Source organism: Homo sapiens, chromosome 10 (assembly GCF_000001405.40).
Source record: "Homo sapiens chromosome 10, GRCh38.p14 Primary Assembly".
Lineage (NCBI taxonomy): Eukaryota > Metazoa > Chordata > Mammalia > Primates > Hominidae > Homo > Homo sapiens.
The window spans coordinates 21,685,041-21,703,157 of NC_000010.11; the positions used below are offsets into that span (position 1 = coordinate 21,685,041).

Consider the following 18,117-nt stretch of genomic DNA (forward strand, 5'->3'; position numbering starts at 1 on the left):
ACTTCTGGGTTCTCATATGTGATGTTCTAATACTTCCTCCAATTGATTTCTACTCTTTCTCTGGACACTTTTTTTTGTTTTTGTGAAATATATCTTAGTCATATTTATCTCACATTTGTGAAACTTCAAAAAAAAGCTTTCATTAGACAGTTGAAACTATGGATTATTTTCATCATTTATTCTAGCAACTGATGCATTTCAAAATGTTTTGAATAGGACTTTATAAAACTAAAATTTATTACTTCACAAAACTTATTCTGGAAAAATTAATACAAGTGAAATGACCAAGGAAAGATGATTATTATTATTTTTGAGATGGAGTCTCACTCTGTTGCACAGGCTGGAATGCAATGGTGCCATCTCAGCTCATTGCAACCTCTGCCTCCTGAATTCAAGCGATTCTCCTGCCTCAGCCTCCCGAGTAGCTGGGATTACAGGCGCCCACCACCATGCCTGGCTAATTTTTGTATTTTTAGTAGAGACAGGGTTTCACCATGTTGGCCAGGCTGGTCTCAAACTCCTAGACTCAAGTGATCCGCAAGTGGTCCACCTCGGCCTCCTAAAGTGCTGGGATTACAGGCGTGAGCCACCGTGCCCAGCCTCTTTGGCTACTTTAAACCAGCATTTCAAAATAATATTAAAAGTGAGAAAGGCCAAAACAAATGTATGAAACAACTCTATTACTTTAGCAAAGAACCAAGTTACTATACTGAAAGAAACAAGACAGTCCAATACAAAGTTTAATTCCCAAAGAAAATTAACATATTCCCAAGAATATATATGGAACTTATTCTAGGAAAATGTAGCAATTAACAATTTTCATTCATTCAACAATTATGGCAAGCCTATTAGATGATGAGCTAAATACTGACAAAATAAGATGAATAAAAGCCAACTTCTAAAATAAATTATTAAAGAACCTAGAAAATACTAGAGCAAAACCATCCCTGAGACATAAAGATGAAAACTAGGAGGAGGATATGCTAGTTTTCAACTGGACTATAAAACTGAACTATAATCTTTTAATACATACTACTTGTTTCATCATTTTTACAAGCATTTAAAATACTTCTATTAAGTGAAATAGCGAAATTAAACTTACAATTTATTAAGATCATGAAATCTCTTAGGCTGCTTCATTCCAGGGCACCACCACAAAACCAAACATGAAATACAAGGCACTTTCTTTTATAGGCATCGATTTAAAGTTAATTCTCCATATAGTATTCTTTAAGATATTTAAATGACTACTTTCCCTTTCCAAACTGCCTCAAAAGTTTCTGAAATTTCCTGAGACTTTTACGTAATATATCTTTCCTTACTTTTCTGTTTCCTTTTTCCTTTGTTGGGACAATAATTTTAATATTATTTCTTCAATTTTTAAATTTCTTAAATTTCTCTGATCATATGCAGTTTATCCTGGTGGACCTAAATTGGTGTTTGAAATTGGTTAGGTGTTTTCCTAAAGTACTTTGCTTTGTATCAATATTATTCTTAATTCCTTACCTGAAAACACCAATTTCAAAAGTTTATGAAGTTATTTCACATACCCAAAAGAACCGCCTTCATTAAGTCCTAAGATCCTCTCTGAGAAAGAACAAATGAAGACATATGCTTTAAACTCAATATCTATGACTGTAAATATATAATATTTCCTTGGGGCCGTGCATGGTGGCTCATGCCTGCAATCCCAGCACTTTGGGAGGCCGAGGTGGCAGATCACTTGAGCTTAGGAGTTTGAGACCAGCCTGCTCAACATGACGAAACCCCTTGTCTACTAAAAATACAAAAATTAGCCAGACGTGATGGTGCGTGTCTGTAATCCCTGCTACTTGGGAGGCTGAGGCAGGGAGAATTGCTTGAACCCAGGAGGCGAAGGTTGCAGTGAGGTGAGATCGCGCCACTGCATTCCAGCCTAGGTGACAGAACAAGACTCTGCTTCATAAATAAATAAATAAATAAAGTACCAAAGAGCTTACTTAGATCAGTTTTCACAGCAGTATATTGCTAATTGAGTTCCAAGTCCCACTTATTGCACTTTTAAATTCCCTTTAATTATGATGCTTCTGGTTTGAGACAACTGCGCTCACTAAACAAATAGGGTTTGTTGGAGGAGGTAATGTTAACCAGTTATTCATATAGGTGCTGTAGGATGAGTATACGTATAAATGCCAGTTGATTTTAGAGGTGAACATTCTCCCTCAAGAACAGGGTTCTACTTAGGCTTGTCAGACTAGTTTATAAGAAACTGAATTTTTGTCCTTCATATGTGTCCCTTTTTTATTTCAGGGAAGCATTAAGTGGATAGGATTCCATGAAGTGGGATGAGTAATACTCAGGCTCATATAATTGTTCCAAAGCCAGTATCATTTGAGATTCACTGTGTGTAATGAGATATTACTGATGGGGGATGAGTTGTCACTGTGAGCAGTATGGAGATTGAGAATCTAGCTCATTCTAAATTTAATTTCCTTTTAATCACAACAGACATTTTTTCTTCTTATGAGTTAGTGTGTTCTTTATGCTTATACAGTAAACTGTCACATCCTAGGATACAACAAGTGCTACGAAGTTTGTTTCAATGCACACAAACTGTGAATCACTTGGTAAGGGATAATTAGGTTAAAAAAAGGGGAAGGGAACTAGGCCTTGGGCGTAGTAAAGAGCTGCAAAGCACATTGGTTTAGGGGGTTGAAATGAAATTCTAGAGAAAGGCACCTGACCGTTAGTAAACCTAGACCTTAGAATTGCTGTCTTGAATCAGAGAAATGGTAAGGAGCTATGATGAGTTTGTGGGAGACAGAACACATGATGAAATAGTATGAAATCTTATGGGCAGGGTTGTGATTATGCCTGTGTAGGAAAGAATTTGACTAATTTAACACAGCCTTTATAATAAGGTAGTATAAGACATGTACTTATAGGTAAGACTTTTTCCATTTCAAAGTATCCAGGCTATTTTGTTGCTCTTGGTTCCTTGAAGATAGGCTTCAAAGACTCTTAAGGGATAAACACATTTGGCTGGTGAGTCCCCCACTGGGGAGAAAAAGTAGTTTTCACATTTGGCTGGTGAGTCCACCACTGGGGAGAAAAAGTAGTTTCCAGTATCCATGTTAACTTTTATAATGGAAAATGAATCTACACTCTTTCATTGAAACTGCAAGAGGGGTGGAAGCTGAAAAGTTCCAACTGAGTGAGGGAAGCAGTACAAATGGGAATGAGTTGTGTAATAATTACTTTTAAATTAACTGGTAATGCCATTACTACTCTCTTTATTTAGAGCACTGCAATTTTTTAAATTTACATAGGTTTCATGGGGATTTTAACCCTGATGATCCACCCCCACACTGCACCCCATCATAATATCTTCAGTTTTTCAACTTGTCTGTCATGGTGGTTTTTAGGAAGTGGTGATTAAAAATCTGAAATTAAAGTGTGTCTTTTCTTTAGACAGAGGTGACAGTTCTACACTAACAAAGCAAGAACTTAAATTCATAGGTATGTACCAAACTCCAGCATGGTTCTAAACATAATAGTGTTAAATTAATCCTATTGTAGCTTGGAAACCTTCCCATACAAACCAGTGTTAGCAGTATGTACTCATAAAAAAAAAATGATGCCTGAAAGGAATTATCTATAACCTTGGGTGGTAGGTGGGATGAACTATATGTTCTTATTGTTGTAGTTATTTGGATTTGTCATATTGCTTCAGACTTGGTAGGTAGATCTTAGAATTCCTGAAACTGTTTACTTGTAAGGGCCTAGGCTCCTAGGTCTGATTTTGTGAAGACCACTTTGTACACCTGTGTCCCTTCTCACACTGAGATCAGGAAGAATATGAGAACATATTTCATGTTTTATAATCATGATAACTCTCTGATTCTTTTAACATATATCTCAAATACTCTGGATCAGTTCAGAGAGAACATGTGTATTCTGAACTACAGAGTGAAATCCACTACTGTTAACCACTTGAAGTATGCATCCACTCATTTCCCTCCCCTACAAACCTCATTTTTAACATGCTGATAAAGCTAATTTTATAGGCTGTGAGTATCTTCAATATGGCACTTTCCTTCTTGAGACTGTCTTAGCTTTTTATCATTTGACAAGAATATATTAGGTTCTTTCTTTATGTCTATATGTAAGGTCCTGGTTAGTTGCTTTGGGGAAATAAGTATACTGCAAAAGATAAATGATGCGGCACATGAGTCCTCCCTTTGAGAACATACACTCTAAAAGGAAGAGAAATACATATATGTAATAATTTCAAGGGATGTACTTACAACTTCTTTAATGGTCAGTAGGAGTTCAAGGCCAGGGAAAATTGCTTTCAGCTGAAGGAATGAGCTATTCAGATAATGTAACGTTTGACCTGATACTTAAAGAATATGTAAAATTTTGTTATTTGGAGATACAGGGATCAGAGCTAGATTCTTAGTCTGAGGTATGTACAGTTAGCATGAGCAATGGCATAGAATGAGAATACACAGGCTGTGTAAAGTAATATATATATATATATATGTATATATATATATATATATATATAGCGTGTGTGTTTTATATATATATATATATACACACACACACACACACACATTTATATATATATATATATATATTTTTTTTTTCTTGGCATGTTTTACCTCCAAGATACTGATATTTGATATGAAAAATAACAACATTAGCTATTAGTCCAAGGAGTTGAAAGCAGTTGGTGTTGAGTTGGAAAAAAGATAATCAAACCTGTACTTTAGGAAGTTTCAACTGGTGGGTAGCATGTAAAAAGATGGAAAAGAGCTAATGCTGAAACAGAGTAACCCAATAGTTTTTTGTTACAATCTAACCAAATTTATTGATGGCCTGAATGAGGATCCTGGAAGTCAAACTGATGAGATGTGTATTACCCAAGAAGAACTGGTAATGACAGTAGCTGGAAAGGATGGGTATTCATTTACTAACACAATATTTAGGTAGAGATGTTTAGCACAGAATTAAATAGAGCTTGGGCACCAAAGAGAATTGAAACTAGGCCACTTAGGGGGTAGTAACTGAAACTCTGAGACTAGTATAGGCTGAAAAATGTGGGTAGAGAAGACAGAAAGAGGTTGAATCAGGTTTATTTTAAAATAGTGAAGTCTTAATAGGTAGAAAGGAGATTAAGGATTAAGATTCAAGGAGTGATATTTCATAGATCAAGAATCTGGAGCAGATGGGAAGAGATCAAGTGAACATGTAGAAAAATTAAGTTTGAAGGAAGACAGAGAATCACTGTGGAAACATTCACTGTCAGAAAACCCCCCACCAAACCAAATTAGTTTTCTAAAACCTTCATAATTTGAATTAATGAATTTTTAAATTATTAGAAATTTTAAAAATAGATTTCCCCCCAAAAGAACTGATTCTTTCAGGTATGTGTAGTAACTTGAATGTGTTTACAAAAGCGTTTTCTTTTTAGTGTACTTCAGAATAGGGCTTTAATGATTAAATAAGAGTATTAAATAATACTTAAATATGCAACGGTTATGCATCTGAGCGAGTTATTTTATTTTAAATTCTCAGTGTCGCCTGAGAAGTGATCTCTTTCCTCTCCTCTTGTATTTTTTTGTCCGAAATACCTCTGTCCTGGAGTTACTGTTTGTGCCTGCCTGTCTGTCATTTTCTCTGCCTATTCCTTAACTATTACATAAATCACCAAGTGCTGCCTTCTGAACATTTTTTCTAATTTACTAATTTGAGGCTTTCTAGACATGACTTTTGTATTTAATTTTTCTTTATCGTTTTCAAAACTCTTCTTTTGTGTTGATTCAGGTCCTTATCATCTCTTGCACAGATTATTCTAATATCCTCTTTTTTACTTTTGTCAGTATACCTAGAGTTCATCAAATGGGCTTACTCAAGCCAGAATCTCAGAAATGAAGGTAGGGAAGAATGTCATTTAATCATCTATGATTTAAAAATAATAACTGCCAAGAATGCCAAATGTTGCTTATCTTATTCTTCCTTACGGTAATCTTCTTGGGAAAACAAATTATAATTGGAAAGTGCTTGCTTAGTGAATCGGACATCAGAATAAAGGCAGTTCGATCATGTTTAAATATTATCATCATCTTGATAATACTTTTTTTTCTCTCTGTGTAATGTATTTCACTACTTTGCAGCTTCCTTTCACATTAACTTCTGGTCCTGCATTTGCAGAAACTATGTCCCAATCACCTTCATTAAACCTGGAGTTGTAGACCATGTCCTTGGTGGGCTGTTTCTATAGATGACTGATATACTTGTTTCACACTCAGAGGGTCATTTTATTTCAGGATCTCTTGATATATACATATGGATATATATCTCTGGATATATGTATGTGCCCATTCCTAACAGAATAGTATATTTATGTAATAACAGCTAGGTATTTGGAATTTTGCTTCTCATACTTTTTTCCATCATGCATGCATTAGGAGCAACTAATATTTTTATTTCAAAGGTGTATCTGAAAGCTTATAGCTTTGGCTTAGGAAGCCAAAAACTTTATTTCATGTTGCCAATAGTAGAAAATCTGATTTTCCACCCAGATTAGGTCTTTTATGGAACTGTAGAGAGAAAACAAATCAGCATAATAAACATAAGACATGAGGGAAGATAGTAGTAATTTGAAACAAAATTTAAAAAGAAAGAAATTTTATATATTCAGCTATATTTTATAATAGTCAAAGCAAGGAACACAGTAAAGGGGTAATAACGCAATGGTTACAGCCAAGGAAAAGAATAATAAATGGGTAAATCAGATGAAGAAAACTTCCTAGAAAGAAGGAAAGTACCAATACTGTGGTGCCAGGGACTTAATAGACTGGGCACGGTGGCTCACGCCTATAATCCCAGCACTTTGGGAGGCTGAGGCAGGCAGATCACTTGAGGTCAGGAGTTCAAGACCATCCTGGCCATCATGGTGAAACCTCATATCTACAAAAAAAAAAAAAAAAAAAAAAAGAGCCAGGTGGGGTGGTGGCACGTCTGTAATCCCAGGTACTTGTGAGGCTGAGGCATGGGAATCGCTTGAACTTGGGAGGCAGAGGCTGCAGTGACCTGAGATCACGCTACTGCACTCCAGCCTGGGTGACAGATGAGACCCTGTCTTAGAAAAATAAAAAATAAAAGGACTTAATAATAGAAGTGACTTCCATTCTAAGGAAATGTACAAAATATGAAAAGACTAGACATACAGAGATATTTATCATAGCAAAAAGTTGCAAGTACTGGGGATTGACAAAATTATCACAATGGTTATATTATTATTATTATTATTATTATTATTTAATCAATCAGTGTCTTGCTTTGTTGCCCAGACTGGTTTCAAATCCCTGGCCTCACGTGATCCTCCCGCCTCAGCTTCCCAAATTGCTGGGATTACAGGCATGAACCACCGCGCCTGGCCTATTGTTCTGCCACATCTTTCTTTTATTTTTGAGAGAGAGTCTTGCTTAGTCCAGGCTGGAGTAGAGTTGTGCCGTCATAGCTCACTGCAGTCTCAATTTCTTGGGCTCAAGCAATCCTCCTGCCTCAGCCTCTTGAGTAGCTGGGAATACAGGCACACACCATTACACCCAGTAATTTTTTTTTTTTTCTTTTTCAGTAGAGATGAGATCTTACTAATGTCGCCCAGGCTGGTCTCCAGCTACTGAGCTCAAGTGATCCTCCTGCCTTGGCCTCCCGAAGTGCTGGGATTACAGGCATGAGCCGCCACACCTGGCCATAATGGTTATATTAAAATCACTGGTTCAAGAGTATTGTGTTTTCTTGTCTCTGTTTTCTAAAAATGAATGTGGCCATTCTTTTATGTTTTTATTTAAAACAAAAATATTCATGAAGAAAGGCAAATTATGTTGATAACCACCATATCTGATAAGATTATGTTCTTCATTTTAGTTGATACTTTTTCCCCCACTAAATCTTTCTTTTAATCTTTTTAAAGAAACAGAAAAAAAAAATCACTGTGTAGTATGTATGTTTCATGATGCTTCTCGTTTAGGCTTATGATTGTACTCATTTAGGTGTGCCTCATCTCTTAGCTGAAGTACTCTCCTTCATTAACCTGATGACTCATATTTTTATACTTTATTTGAGCTTAGTGTTTATAGAGAAAAAATCACCCCATGTAAAAATTCATATCATTCATTGATTCATAACAATTGCAGCTGACATTTAAATTGCTTTGCAATGTTAATATACTTCTCTAGGAAACTTACTTTTTGCTATGCATGTTTAATATGTATACATTTAACTCCTCATACTCTTCCTTTGCTTTCCCTGTACTCAAGATATTAGATGTCTTTCCCAGGGGGAAAAAAAAAACCTTATTTTAGTTTCCTGACCGTCTTTTTGTCACCATCTCTTATGTTTTCATCAATCGTGCTCTTAGTATCTTTCCTCTTGAAAACAACCCCTCCACAGAGAAAAAAAAACCCCAATTTACTTATTCCTATTTGTGCGCCTACCCCTGAAACTGTTCTACAAGCACACACTCGTTTAAGATCATTTGTTTATTTTTGTGATATGTCTATGTATGACTTAAGTCTTCCTTGGACTTAACTGTGCTTCCTGATTGAGAGAATTCATGCGTTTCACCGATTCCCTACACAGTCTTAGCCATTATATTTCAAAATACAGCATCTTACCATTCTCTCCATTCTTTCTTCTGGAAGTTTTGTTAGGCATATTTGGATTTGAATACTGCCCTTAATGTTCTTTAAGTTTTTGTAATTTCCATTTTTTAAATCTCTCTTTTATATCTGAGTAATTTGTTTAGATGTTTGTTTTTGTTCACTAATCATCTCTTTAGCTGTGTTTAATTTATTGTTTTATTAGACTATTGAGTGAAGAATTTTAGTGAACATGTTGTTTTCAAGTTTGAATTCTTTGAAGTCTCTTTTAAAATGAATGTAGTTTGGTTTTCTGTTTTTCTTTTTAAAAAAAGAGCTGCGTAGTTCTTTTCCCACATCCGAAAATATTTTTATTTTGAAGCAATCTCAAACTCATGGAAAAATTGCAAGTATAGTAGAGAGAACTTTGTTTTTCTGAGCCATTTGAGAGTAAGTTGCGCACCGTATCCCATCAGCACTGAATACTTATGTATTTCTTACAAACAAGGACATTCTCCTACAATATCACAGTATAGCTATTAAGAACAGAAAATTAACACTGCTATATTACTACCATCTAGTTTTCAAATGCCATTCAAGTTTTGGCAGTTGTCAATGTTTTTGGAGATCACAGCGTAGTTGTTTTGGATTTTATTTTTCATTACTAAATTCAGATTATGTTTTGGGGGGCAGGAATTTTATAGAAATTATCTTTGCAGTGCATATTATCAATAACACATAATCAGGCTTTCCCAATGTAAAGGTTTTCTTTCCCCCTTTACAATTAGTAATTATTTTGTGGAATAAATTGTGACACTATATGTAATATTCCATTCCCCATCAGATTTTCAGTTTATATCAGTATGTGTTTAAGGATTCCTGTGGGCTATAATTTATTATTCATGATTTATTGTGATGCTGAAAATTGTTCAGGTTAGCCAGTGGGAGCCCCTTTGAGCTGGCTCTCTGTTCTGTTGACATATCCCTGTTATTCTTTGAATGCTTCCTTACTTTCTGGCACTGTAAGTACATTAGTTTTCCATTGCTGACATAACAAATTATCAGAAAGTTAGCAGCTTAAAACCACACACATTCATTAGCTTTCATTTATCATATTTTACCAGTAGAAGTTTGGGTTGGCTGGGTTCTCTGCTTAGTGTCTTGCAAGGCTGAAATCCAGGTGCTGGCCAGCTGGGCTCTTACCAGGAGGCTTCCAAAGAAACCCTTAGCTCTTAGAGGCTTTTATAAAGACCTTGCACATGCCCCTGCGTCTTCAAGCCAGCAATGATGAGTTGAATCCTTCTCACACTTAGAATCTGTCTGACTTCGCCTTCTGCCGCATCTCTCACTTTCTCTTCTGCCGCATCTTTCACTGACTTTCTACCTTCTTTTTTTTTTTTTTTTTTTTGTTTGGAGACAGAGTCTTCCTCTGTCGTCCAAGGCTGGAGTGCAGTGGTCTGATCTTGGCTCACTGCAACCTCTGCCTTGCGGGTTCAAGCGATTCTCGTGCTTCAGCCTCCCAAGTAGCTGGGATTACAGGCGTGTGTCATCACAGGCGTTTCGCCCTGTTGGCCAGGCTGGTCTCGAACTCCTGACCTCAAGTGAGCCACTGCACTCAGCCCCTCTTCTGCTTTCAAAGGCTCATGTGATTACATTGGATCCTTCTAGATAACCCCAGATAATTTGTTTCCAAGTCAGCTAACCAATAGCCTTAATTCGGTCTGCATAGCAGTACCTAGATTAGCGTTTCATTGAATAACCAGGGGATAGCAAACACCAACCTGTCTTTAGAATTCTGCCTACCACTACAAGATACTCTGTGTTCTTCTTTTTTATATAGAGTGTTCTTTTCTCACATTTAAAAAATGCATCCTCTTAGGTTCTTAATCATTTAAAATATTTATCTTATAATATTTATTTGCCATTTCTATTTTCGAAGTGTCTTGGAGGGCAGTCTAAATGTTTGTATCTGTTGATTTGTCATCGTGGGGATTGGTTCCTTCCATGTTTCCTTATTTTGGATTGTGAACTTAAGTTTTATCGTGGGTTAAGGATATATCCCTTCAGAAAAGTTTGTGTTTGCTTCACCACCCTGTCCCTTCTTATGTTAATTTAATGTTGGGATTTATCAAACCAAAGTCTATTTGAACACAAGACTATGTGGCTATAAATTCATATGGCAGACTTTTTACCTCCTATCCAGAGCATAGACCAAATTGGACAAGTATTATTATTTTCTCCCTATGATGTGGTTTTTGGGTGATTTTTGTGTGTGGGTTTTTTTTTTTTTTTTTTTAAGTGGTCTGCCCTTCCACTGAAAGTGTAGCTTTTTGACAGTCTCAGCCATATAAACAGGATCTCAGTTTCATCCTTCCATCCATCCATTAGAGGCACAAGGTCTCATCTCTTTTCCTTTTGGGCATTAAAACCAAAGTTCATACATTATTGAGACAGGCCGACTCTGCTAAGGCAGCCTGTTTGGCCTTTAAGTTTTATTGCTTATTTTTTGAGTATGTATTTATTTTTTTGATTATTATTATTTTTTTTTTGAGCTTTAAGCCTTCAAGTTTCCTTTTTATTCTTGACCCCTAGACATTTCCTTTGCTTGTGGACTCGGGTATTTGTTTTTAGGTAATATTTTTTTTCCCTATGACACAGCCCTCAGGAGATCCTGAGAACATGTGCCCTCATTTTTAGGTAATTTTAATTAGGAAGGGTTTTAGGTTGTCTGATCTGCCTTGTTGCTAGAAACAGAAATTCTCCTATTGATTGATTTTTCAAACCACTTCTTAGTGGCCTCTACAACTACTCCAGTCAGGTCAAGAATGGCTCTCACATTGCCAAGTCAGTGGGTATTTTTAGTCTTCATCTTAGATGACCTTTATGCACATTTGTCTTTGTCTAGGAACTTCTGTTGGAAACATCTTCTATTTTAATGTTATTTTAAATTTTTTTGCTTTTGTAACATTATGCTTAGCATGTGTGTCCAACTCTTTGACAATTTCTTTTTAGTTTTCTGGTGGCTTCCCTTTATCCAAATTTAGTATTGAAATTCCTCGAGCCGCTGCTTTTCTCACTCCATAATTCTGGCCAGAATTTGGTACTTAAAATATTTTGTCTAAAATATTACAATAGCTACTTAAGTCATCTCCCTGACTCCACTCTGTTGTCTTTCAGGGCGTCGTCCACACTGTAGCCAAAGTGATCTTATAAAAACATAATTCTAATCATGGCACTCTTCTGCTTAAAAATGTTTTAATGGCTTTCCGTTAGGTTAAAATTTAAAAGTCCTTTGTAGCCTGTGAGACTCTACATGAGTTGACTCCCTAGCTTCATCTTTGAGCATCTTATTTCTTTACTTATTATACCATCAGTTAGAGTTGATTGTTATATAATCCACAGAAGTGAATTCTGTCTGATTTAAGCAAAAAAAAAAAAAAAAAAAAAAAGAGGGAGAATTTATTAGGTGTGTATAGTTACAGTTAATTTAGGGAATTAAAAGACAGAAATAGGCCGGGCATGGTGGCTCATGCCTGTAATCCCAGGACTTTGAGAGGCTGAGGCGGGCACATCACCTAAGGTCAGGAGTTCAAGACCAGCCTGGCCAAAATGGTGAAACCTGTCTCTACTAAAAATACAAAAATTAGCCAGGCATGGTGGAAGGCGCCTGTAATCCCAACTACTCAGGAGGCCGAGGCAGGAGAATCGCTTGAACCTGGGAGGTGGTGGTTGCAGTGAGCTGAGATTGTGCCATTGCACTCCAGCCTGGGCAACAAGAGCAAGACTCCATCTGAAAACAAAAACCAAAAAAAGTTTGTTGATGATTTTTTCCTACTTTCGCATGTATTTCAAATTTTAAAAATGATTGTGTTCAATTGTATAGATCATGTCAAAAGAAGCAATACATAATGAGTAAAAATGTTCATCTTTAATAAAGCAAAAATAGAGCAACCCACCAAATAGTTAACACTTGCCTGGAGAGATTTAGGAACACCAGTATTCCACTGAGATTGCTGAGAGTCTCAGGAAAGAAAGGTCTAACTTAAATTGTATTTTACCATTTCTGAGTAATGAATGGATTAATTCTATGGAGATATATTCTACAGTCTAGAAAGGGAAAGCCAAAGATAAAGACTGTTGTATTTATTCATTAGTTGCCAAAGGGAAAGGGAAGACCGATTAACAACAGAAGTGTTTCTGTTATTGTGTATATTATCCTGTTTATTTTAAAGATGCTTGCTTATTTACATTTTCTTTTATCGCTACATAATAATTTACCTATTTATGGGGGACGTTTGAGTGTTTGTTACATGCATAGAATGTATACTGAGCAAGTCAGGGTATGTGGGGTATCCATCACCTCGAATGTTTATCATTTCTGTGTGTTGGCAACATTTCAAGTCTTCTCTTCTACCTTCATTGAAATATTCAATGTATTGTTGCTAATGATAGTCACCCTAGCCTTCTGTCGAACATTAAAACTTACTTATTCTATCTAACTGTATGTTTGTACCCATTCAACAACCTTTCTTCATTTCTCCCTCCTACCCTCACACTCTTGCCAGCCTCTGGTATTTGTTATTCTATTCTCTGTCTCCATGACATCAAGTTTTTCAGGTCTTACATATGAGTTGAGCACATGTGGTATTTGTCTTTCTGTGCCTGGCTTATTTCACTTAACATAATGATCTCCAGTTCCATCCATGTTGTTGGAAATGACATGATTTCATTCTTTCTTATGGCCAAATAGTATTCCACTGTGTGTATATACTACACTTTCTTTATCCATTTGTCCATTGAAAAACACTGAGGTTGATTCCATATCTTTGCTTTTGTGAAGAAATGCTATGATAAATATGTGAGTGCAGGTAACCCTTTGATATGCTCATTTCTTTTACTTTGGTTTAAATACCTGATATTGGGATTGCTAGATCATGTGGAAGTTGTATTTTTAGTTTTTTAGATAAATATACATACTATTTTATATAGTGGTTGTACTAATTTTACATTCCTACCAATAGTGTATAAGAGTTTATTTTTCTCCACATCCTCAGCAACATCTGTCATTTTTGTCTTTCTAATCATAGCCATTCTAACTGGAGTAATAGGATATCTCATTGTGGTTTCGATTTACATTCCCCTGATGATTAGTGATGTTGAGCATTTTTTCATGTATATATTGTCCATTTCTATGTTTTTGTTTTGTTTGGTTTGGTTTTGAGACGGAGTCTTGCTCTTTTGCCCAGGCTGGAGTGCAGTGGCACAATCTTGGCTCACTGCAACCTCTGCTTCCCAGGTTCAAGCAATCCTCCTGCCTCAGCCCCCGTAGTAGCTGGGATTACAGGCACGTGCCATCATGCCCAGCTAATTTTTGTACTTTTAGTAGATACAGGGTTTTGCCATGTTGGCCAGGCTGGTCTCAAACTCCTGACCTCAGGTGATCCACCCGCCTCGGCCTCCCAAAGTGCTGGGATTACAGGTGTGAGCCACCGTGCCCAGCATTTGTATGTTATCTTTTGAGAAATATCTATTCATGTCCTTTGCCCACTTGTTAATGGTATCTTTTTTTTTTTTTTTTAATTGTTGTTTGAGTTCCTTGTGTATTCTGGATGTTAGTCTGTTGTCAGGTGAATACTTTGCAGATATTTTCTCCTATTCAACAGTTTGTCTCCCTCCTCTGTTGATTATGTCTTTTGCTGTGCAGGAGGTTTTTAGTTTAATGTAGTCCCATTTTGTCTATTTGTGATTTTGATGTTTTAGCCATAAAATCTTTGCCTAGACCAATGTCCTGAAGTGTTTTCCTTGTGTTTTCTTTGAGTATTTTTATACTTTCAGGTCTTATGTTTAAGTCTGTAATCCATCTTGGGTTGACTTTTGTGTATGGTTAGAAATGGGGTACAGTTCTATTCTTTTGCATACAGATATCCAATTTTCCCAGCACCATTTTTTGAAGAGGATATCCTTTCCTCGGTGTACGTACTTGGTGCCTTTGTCAAAAATCAGTTGGCTGTAAAAAAAAAAAAAAGTGGGTTTATTGCTGGGTTCTCTATTCTGTTTCATTGGTATCTGTTTTTATACCAATACCATGCTTTTTTGATTACTGTAGCTTTGTAATATATTTTGAAGTGACGTAGCATGATGACTCCAGCTTTGTTCTTTTGCTCAGGATTACTTCAGCTATTCTGATTCTTTCTTGGCTCCATACAAATGTTAGAATTGTTTTTTCTATTTCTATGAAAAATGATGTTATTTTGATAAGGACTGCATTGCATCTGTAGATTGCTTTTGGCAGTGTGGTCATTTTAATGATACTAATTCTTCCAATTCATGAGCATGGGATGTCTTTAAATTTGTTTGTGTCCTTTTCAATTTCTTTCATCAGTGTTTTGTAATTTTTCTTGTAGAGATCTTTCACCTACTCGGTTAAATGTATTCTTTTTTTTTTTTTTTTAAACACTATAGTAAACAGGACTGCTGCCTTGATTTCTTTTTTTGCTATTTCATTATTGATATATAGAAACAGTACTGGTTTTTGTATGTTGATTTTGTATCCTCCAAATTTACTGAATTTATCAGTTCTTATAGTCTTTTGGTGGAGTATTTAAGTTTTTCTGCATATAAGATCATGTAATCTGCAAAGTAATGAATTTTACTTCCGTATGGAAGTCAACTTGGATGCCTGTTATTTCTGTTGCCAGATTGCTCTGGTTAGAATTGTCAATATTATGTTGAATAAGAGTTGTGAAGGTGGGTGTTCTTGTTTTGTTTTAGGTCTTAGAGGAAAAATTTTAGCTTTTTCCTGTTGAGTATAATGTTAGCTGTGAGTTTGTCCTATATGGCCTTTATTATTTTGCAGAATGGTCCTTCTGTGCTTAGTTTGAGAGTTTTTAATATGAAGCGATGTTGAATTTTATCAAATGCTTTTTCTGCATCTGAGATGATCATATGGGTTTTGTCCTTTATTCTATTGATGTGATACCTATTATGTTAAACCATCCTTGCATTCCAAGTGTGAGTCCCACTTGATCATGGTGTATTACCTTTTGATGTTTTGTTGAATTCGGTTTGCTAGCATTTTGTTGGGGATTTTTGCATTGATGTTTCTTGGGGATATTGACCTGTAGTTTCCTTTTTTGATGTTGTTGTATCCTTGACTGGTCAGGGCCTTGTAGAATGAGTTAAGGAGAATTCCCTTCTCTTGGATTTTTGGAATAGTTTGAAGAGGATTGGTATTAGTTCCTTTGTATACATTTGGTAGAATTCAGCATTGAATCTATCCAGTCCTAGGCTTTTCTTTGGTTGGGAGACATTTTATTACTGATTCAGTCTCATTACTCATTGTTGGTCTGTTCAGGGTTTCTGTTTCTTCCTGATTCAGTCTGGGTAGGTTGTATGTTTTTTGGAATTCATCAATTTTCTCTAGATTTTCCAATTTGTTAGCATTCATACTATTCTCTGCTGTCTTTCATATTTCTGTGGTATCAGTTGTAATGTCTCCTTTTTCAATTTTGATTTTGCTGATTTGGTTCTTACCTCTTTTTTTTGCCTTGTCTAGCTAGCAGTTCATCAATTTTGTTTACCTTTTGAAGAACCAATTTTTCATTTCATTGATTTTTTTTTTTTTTTTTGAGAGGGAGAGGGGGTCTCTGTCTAATCTTCATTATATCTTTTCTTCTGCTGATTTTGGGTTTGATTTGTTCTTGCTTTTCTAGTTCCTTGAGGTGCATCATTAGATTGTTTATTTGCAGTCTTTCTACTTTTTTGATGTAGATGTTTACTGCTATAAACTTTTTAGTGTTGTTTTTGCTGTATCACATAGGTTTTGGCATGTTGCGTTTCCATTTTCATTTGAAGAAATTTTTTTATATCCATCTTAATTTCTTCATTGGCACAGTGGTGGATTGTGTTATTAAAAATATATATATATTTTGAAGATGGAGTCTTGCTCTGTCACCCAGGCTGGAGTGCAGTAATGCGATCTCTTCTCGCTGCAACCTCTGCCTCCTGGGGTCCAGCAATTCTCCTGCCTCAGCCTCCTGAGTAGCTGGGACTATAGGCATGTACCACCACGCCTGGTTAATTTTTTTTATATTTTTAGAAGAGATGGGTTTCACCATGTTAGCCAGGCTGGTCTCAAACTCCTGACCTCAGGCAGTCCACCAGCCTCAGCCTCCCAAAGTGCTGGGGTTACAGGCGTGAGCCACCGCACCTGGTTATGTTATTTCTCTTCTCTTCTCTTCTCGTCTCGTCTCGTCTCGTCTCTCTTTTTTTTGAGACAGATACTCACTGTATTGCCAGGTTGTAGTGCAGTGGCTTGATCTCAGCTCATGGCAACCTCCACTTCCCAGGTTCAAGTGATTCTCCTGCCTCAGCCTCCCGAGTAGCTAGGACTACAGGCGCCCACCACCATGCCCAGCTAATTTTTGTATTTTTAGTAGAGACGGGATTTCACCATGTTGGCCAGGATGATCTCAATCTCTTGACCTTGTGATCCGCCCACCTCAGCTGCCCAAAGTGCTGGGATTACAGGCGTGAGCCACTGTGCCTGGCTATGTTATTTAATTTTTATGTATTTGTATAGTTTCCTAAGTTCCTCTTTGTGTTGATTTTTAATTTTATTCCATTGTAAATTGAGAAGATTCTTGATATGATTTTGATTTTTAAAGATTTGTTTTGTGTCCTGACATACGGTCTGTCCTGGAGAATGTTCCATATGCTGATGAGAGCAGTTGTTGGATAAAATGTTTTGTAAATGTCTGTTAGGTCCATTTGGTCTAAAGTCTAGTTGGAGTCCAGTGTTCGTTTTTTGATTTTCTGTGCCAGTGATCTATCTAATGTTGAGAGTGGGTTGTTGAAGTCTCTCACTATTATTGTATTGGAGTTTATCCCTCTCTTTAGGTTTAGTAATATTTGCTTTCTGAATCTGAATTTTCCAGTTTGGTGCATATATATTTAGAATTGTTATATCCTCTTGCTGGTTATCCCTTTGTCGTTATATAATGACCTAATCTTTTTTACAGTTTTTTTTTTCTTAAAGTCTCTTTTATCTGATGTAAGTATAGCTACTCCTGCTTACTTCCTGTGGTTTCCCTTTGCATAAAATATCTTTTTTCATACCTTTACTTTCCATCTGTATGCATCCTTACAGGTGAAGTGTGTTTTTTGTGGGCAATAAGTAGTTGGACCTTGTTTTTTAATTCATTCACCTAGTTGATATCTTGTAAGTGGAGAATTTAATCCATTACATTTAAGGTTATTATTGATATGTGAGGTTTTGTTTTTGTCCTATTGTTTTCTAGTTGTTTTGTATATTCTTTCTTTTCCTTTCTTTTTGTCGTTGTGGTTTTGTGGTTTTCTGTAGGGGTGGTTTGAGTCCTTTCTCTTTCTTCTTACTTTGTGTATTTGCTTTACTCCAGTGAGTTTTGTACTTTTGTATGTTTTCATGGTGGCAAATGTCATCCTTTTGCTTCCAGGTTTAGAATTC

The 18,117-nt window shown here is 36.1% G+C and overlaps 1 protein-coding gene across 4 annotated transcripts in view; it reads left to right on the forward strand.

Annotated features, from left to right (window-relative positions):
- The window catches only part of MLLT10 (MLLT10 histone lysine methyltransferase DOT1L cofactor), a 209,875-nt gene that overhangs the window by 151,285 nt on the left and 40,473 nt on the right, over window positions 1-18,117 (forward strand). For 2 of the 4 annotated variants that reach the window (NR_136736.2, NM_004641.4), the window contains one exon: window positions 3,451-3,498. The exons of the other annotated variants lie outside the window; for them this stretch is intronic. Coding sequence is in view for 1 of the 2 variants with exons in the window: in NM_004641.4 (NP_004632.1) it covers window positions 3,451-3,498 (48 nt within the window). In the remaining variant the exon portion in view is untranslated. The remainder of the gene's footprint in view (window positions 1-3,450; window positions 3,499-18,117) is intronic. 4 annotated transcript variants of the gene reach the window in all.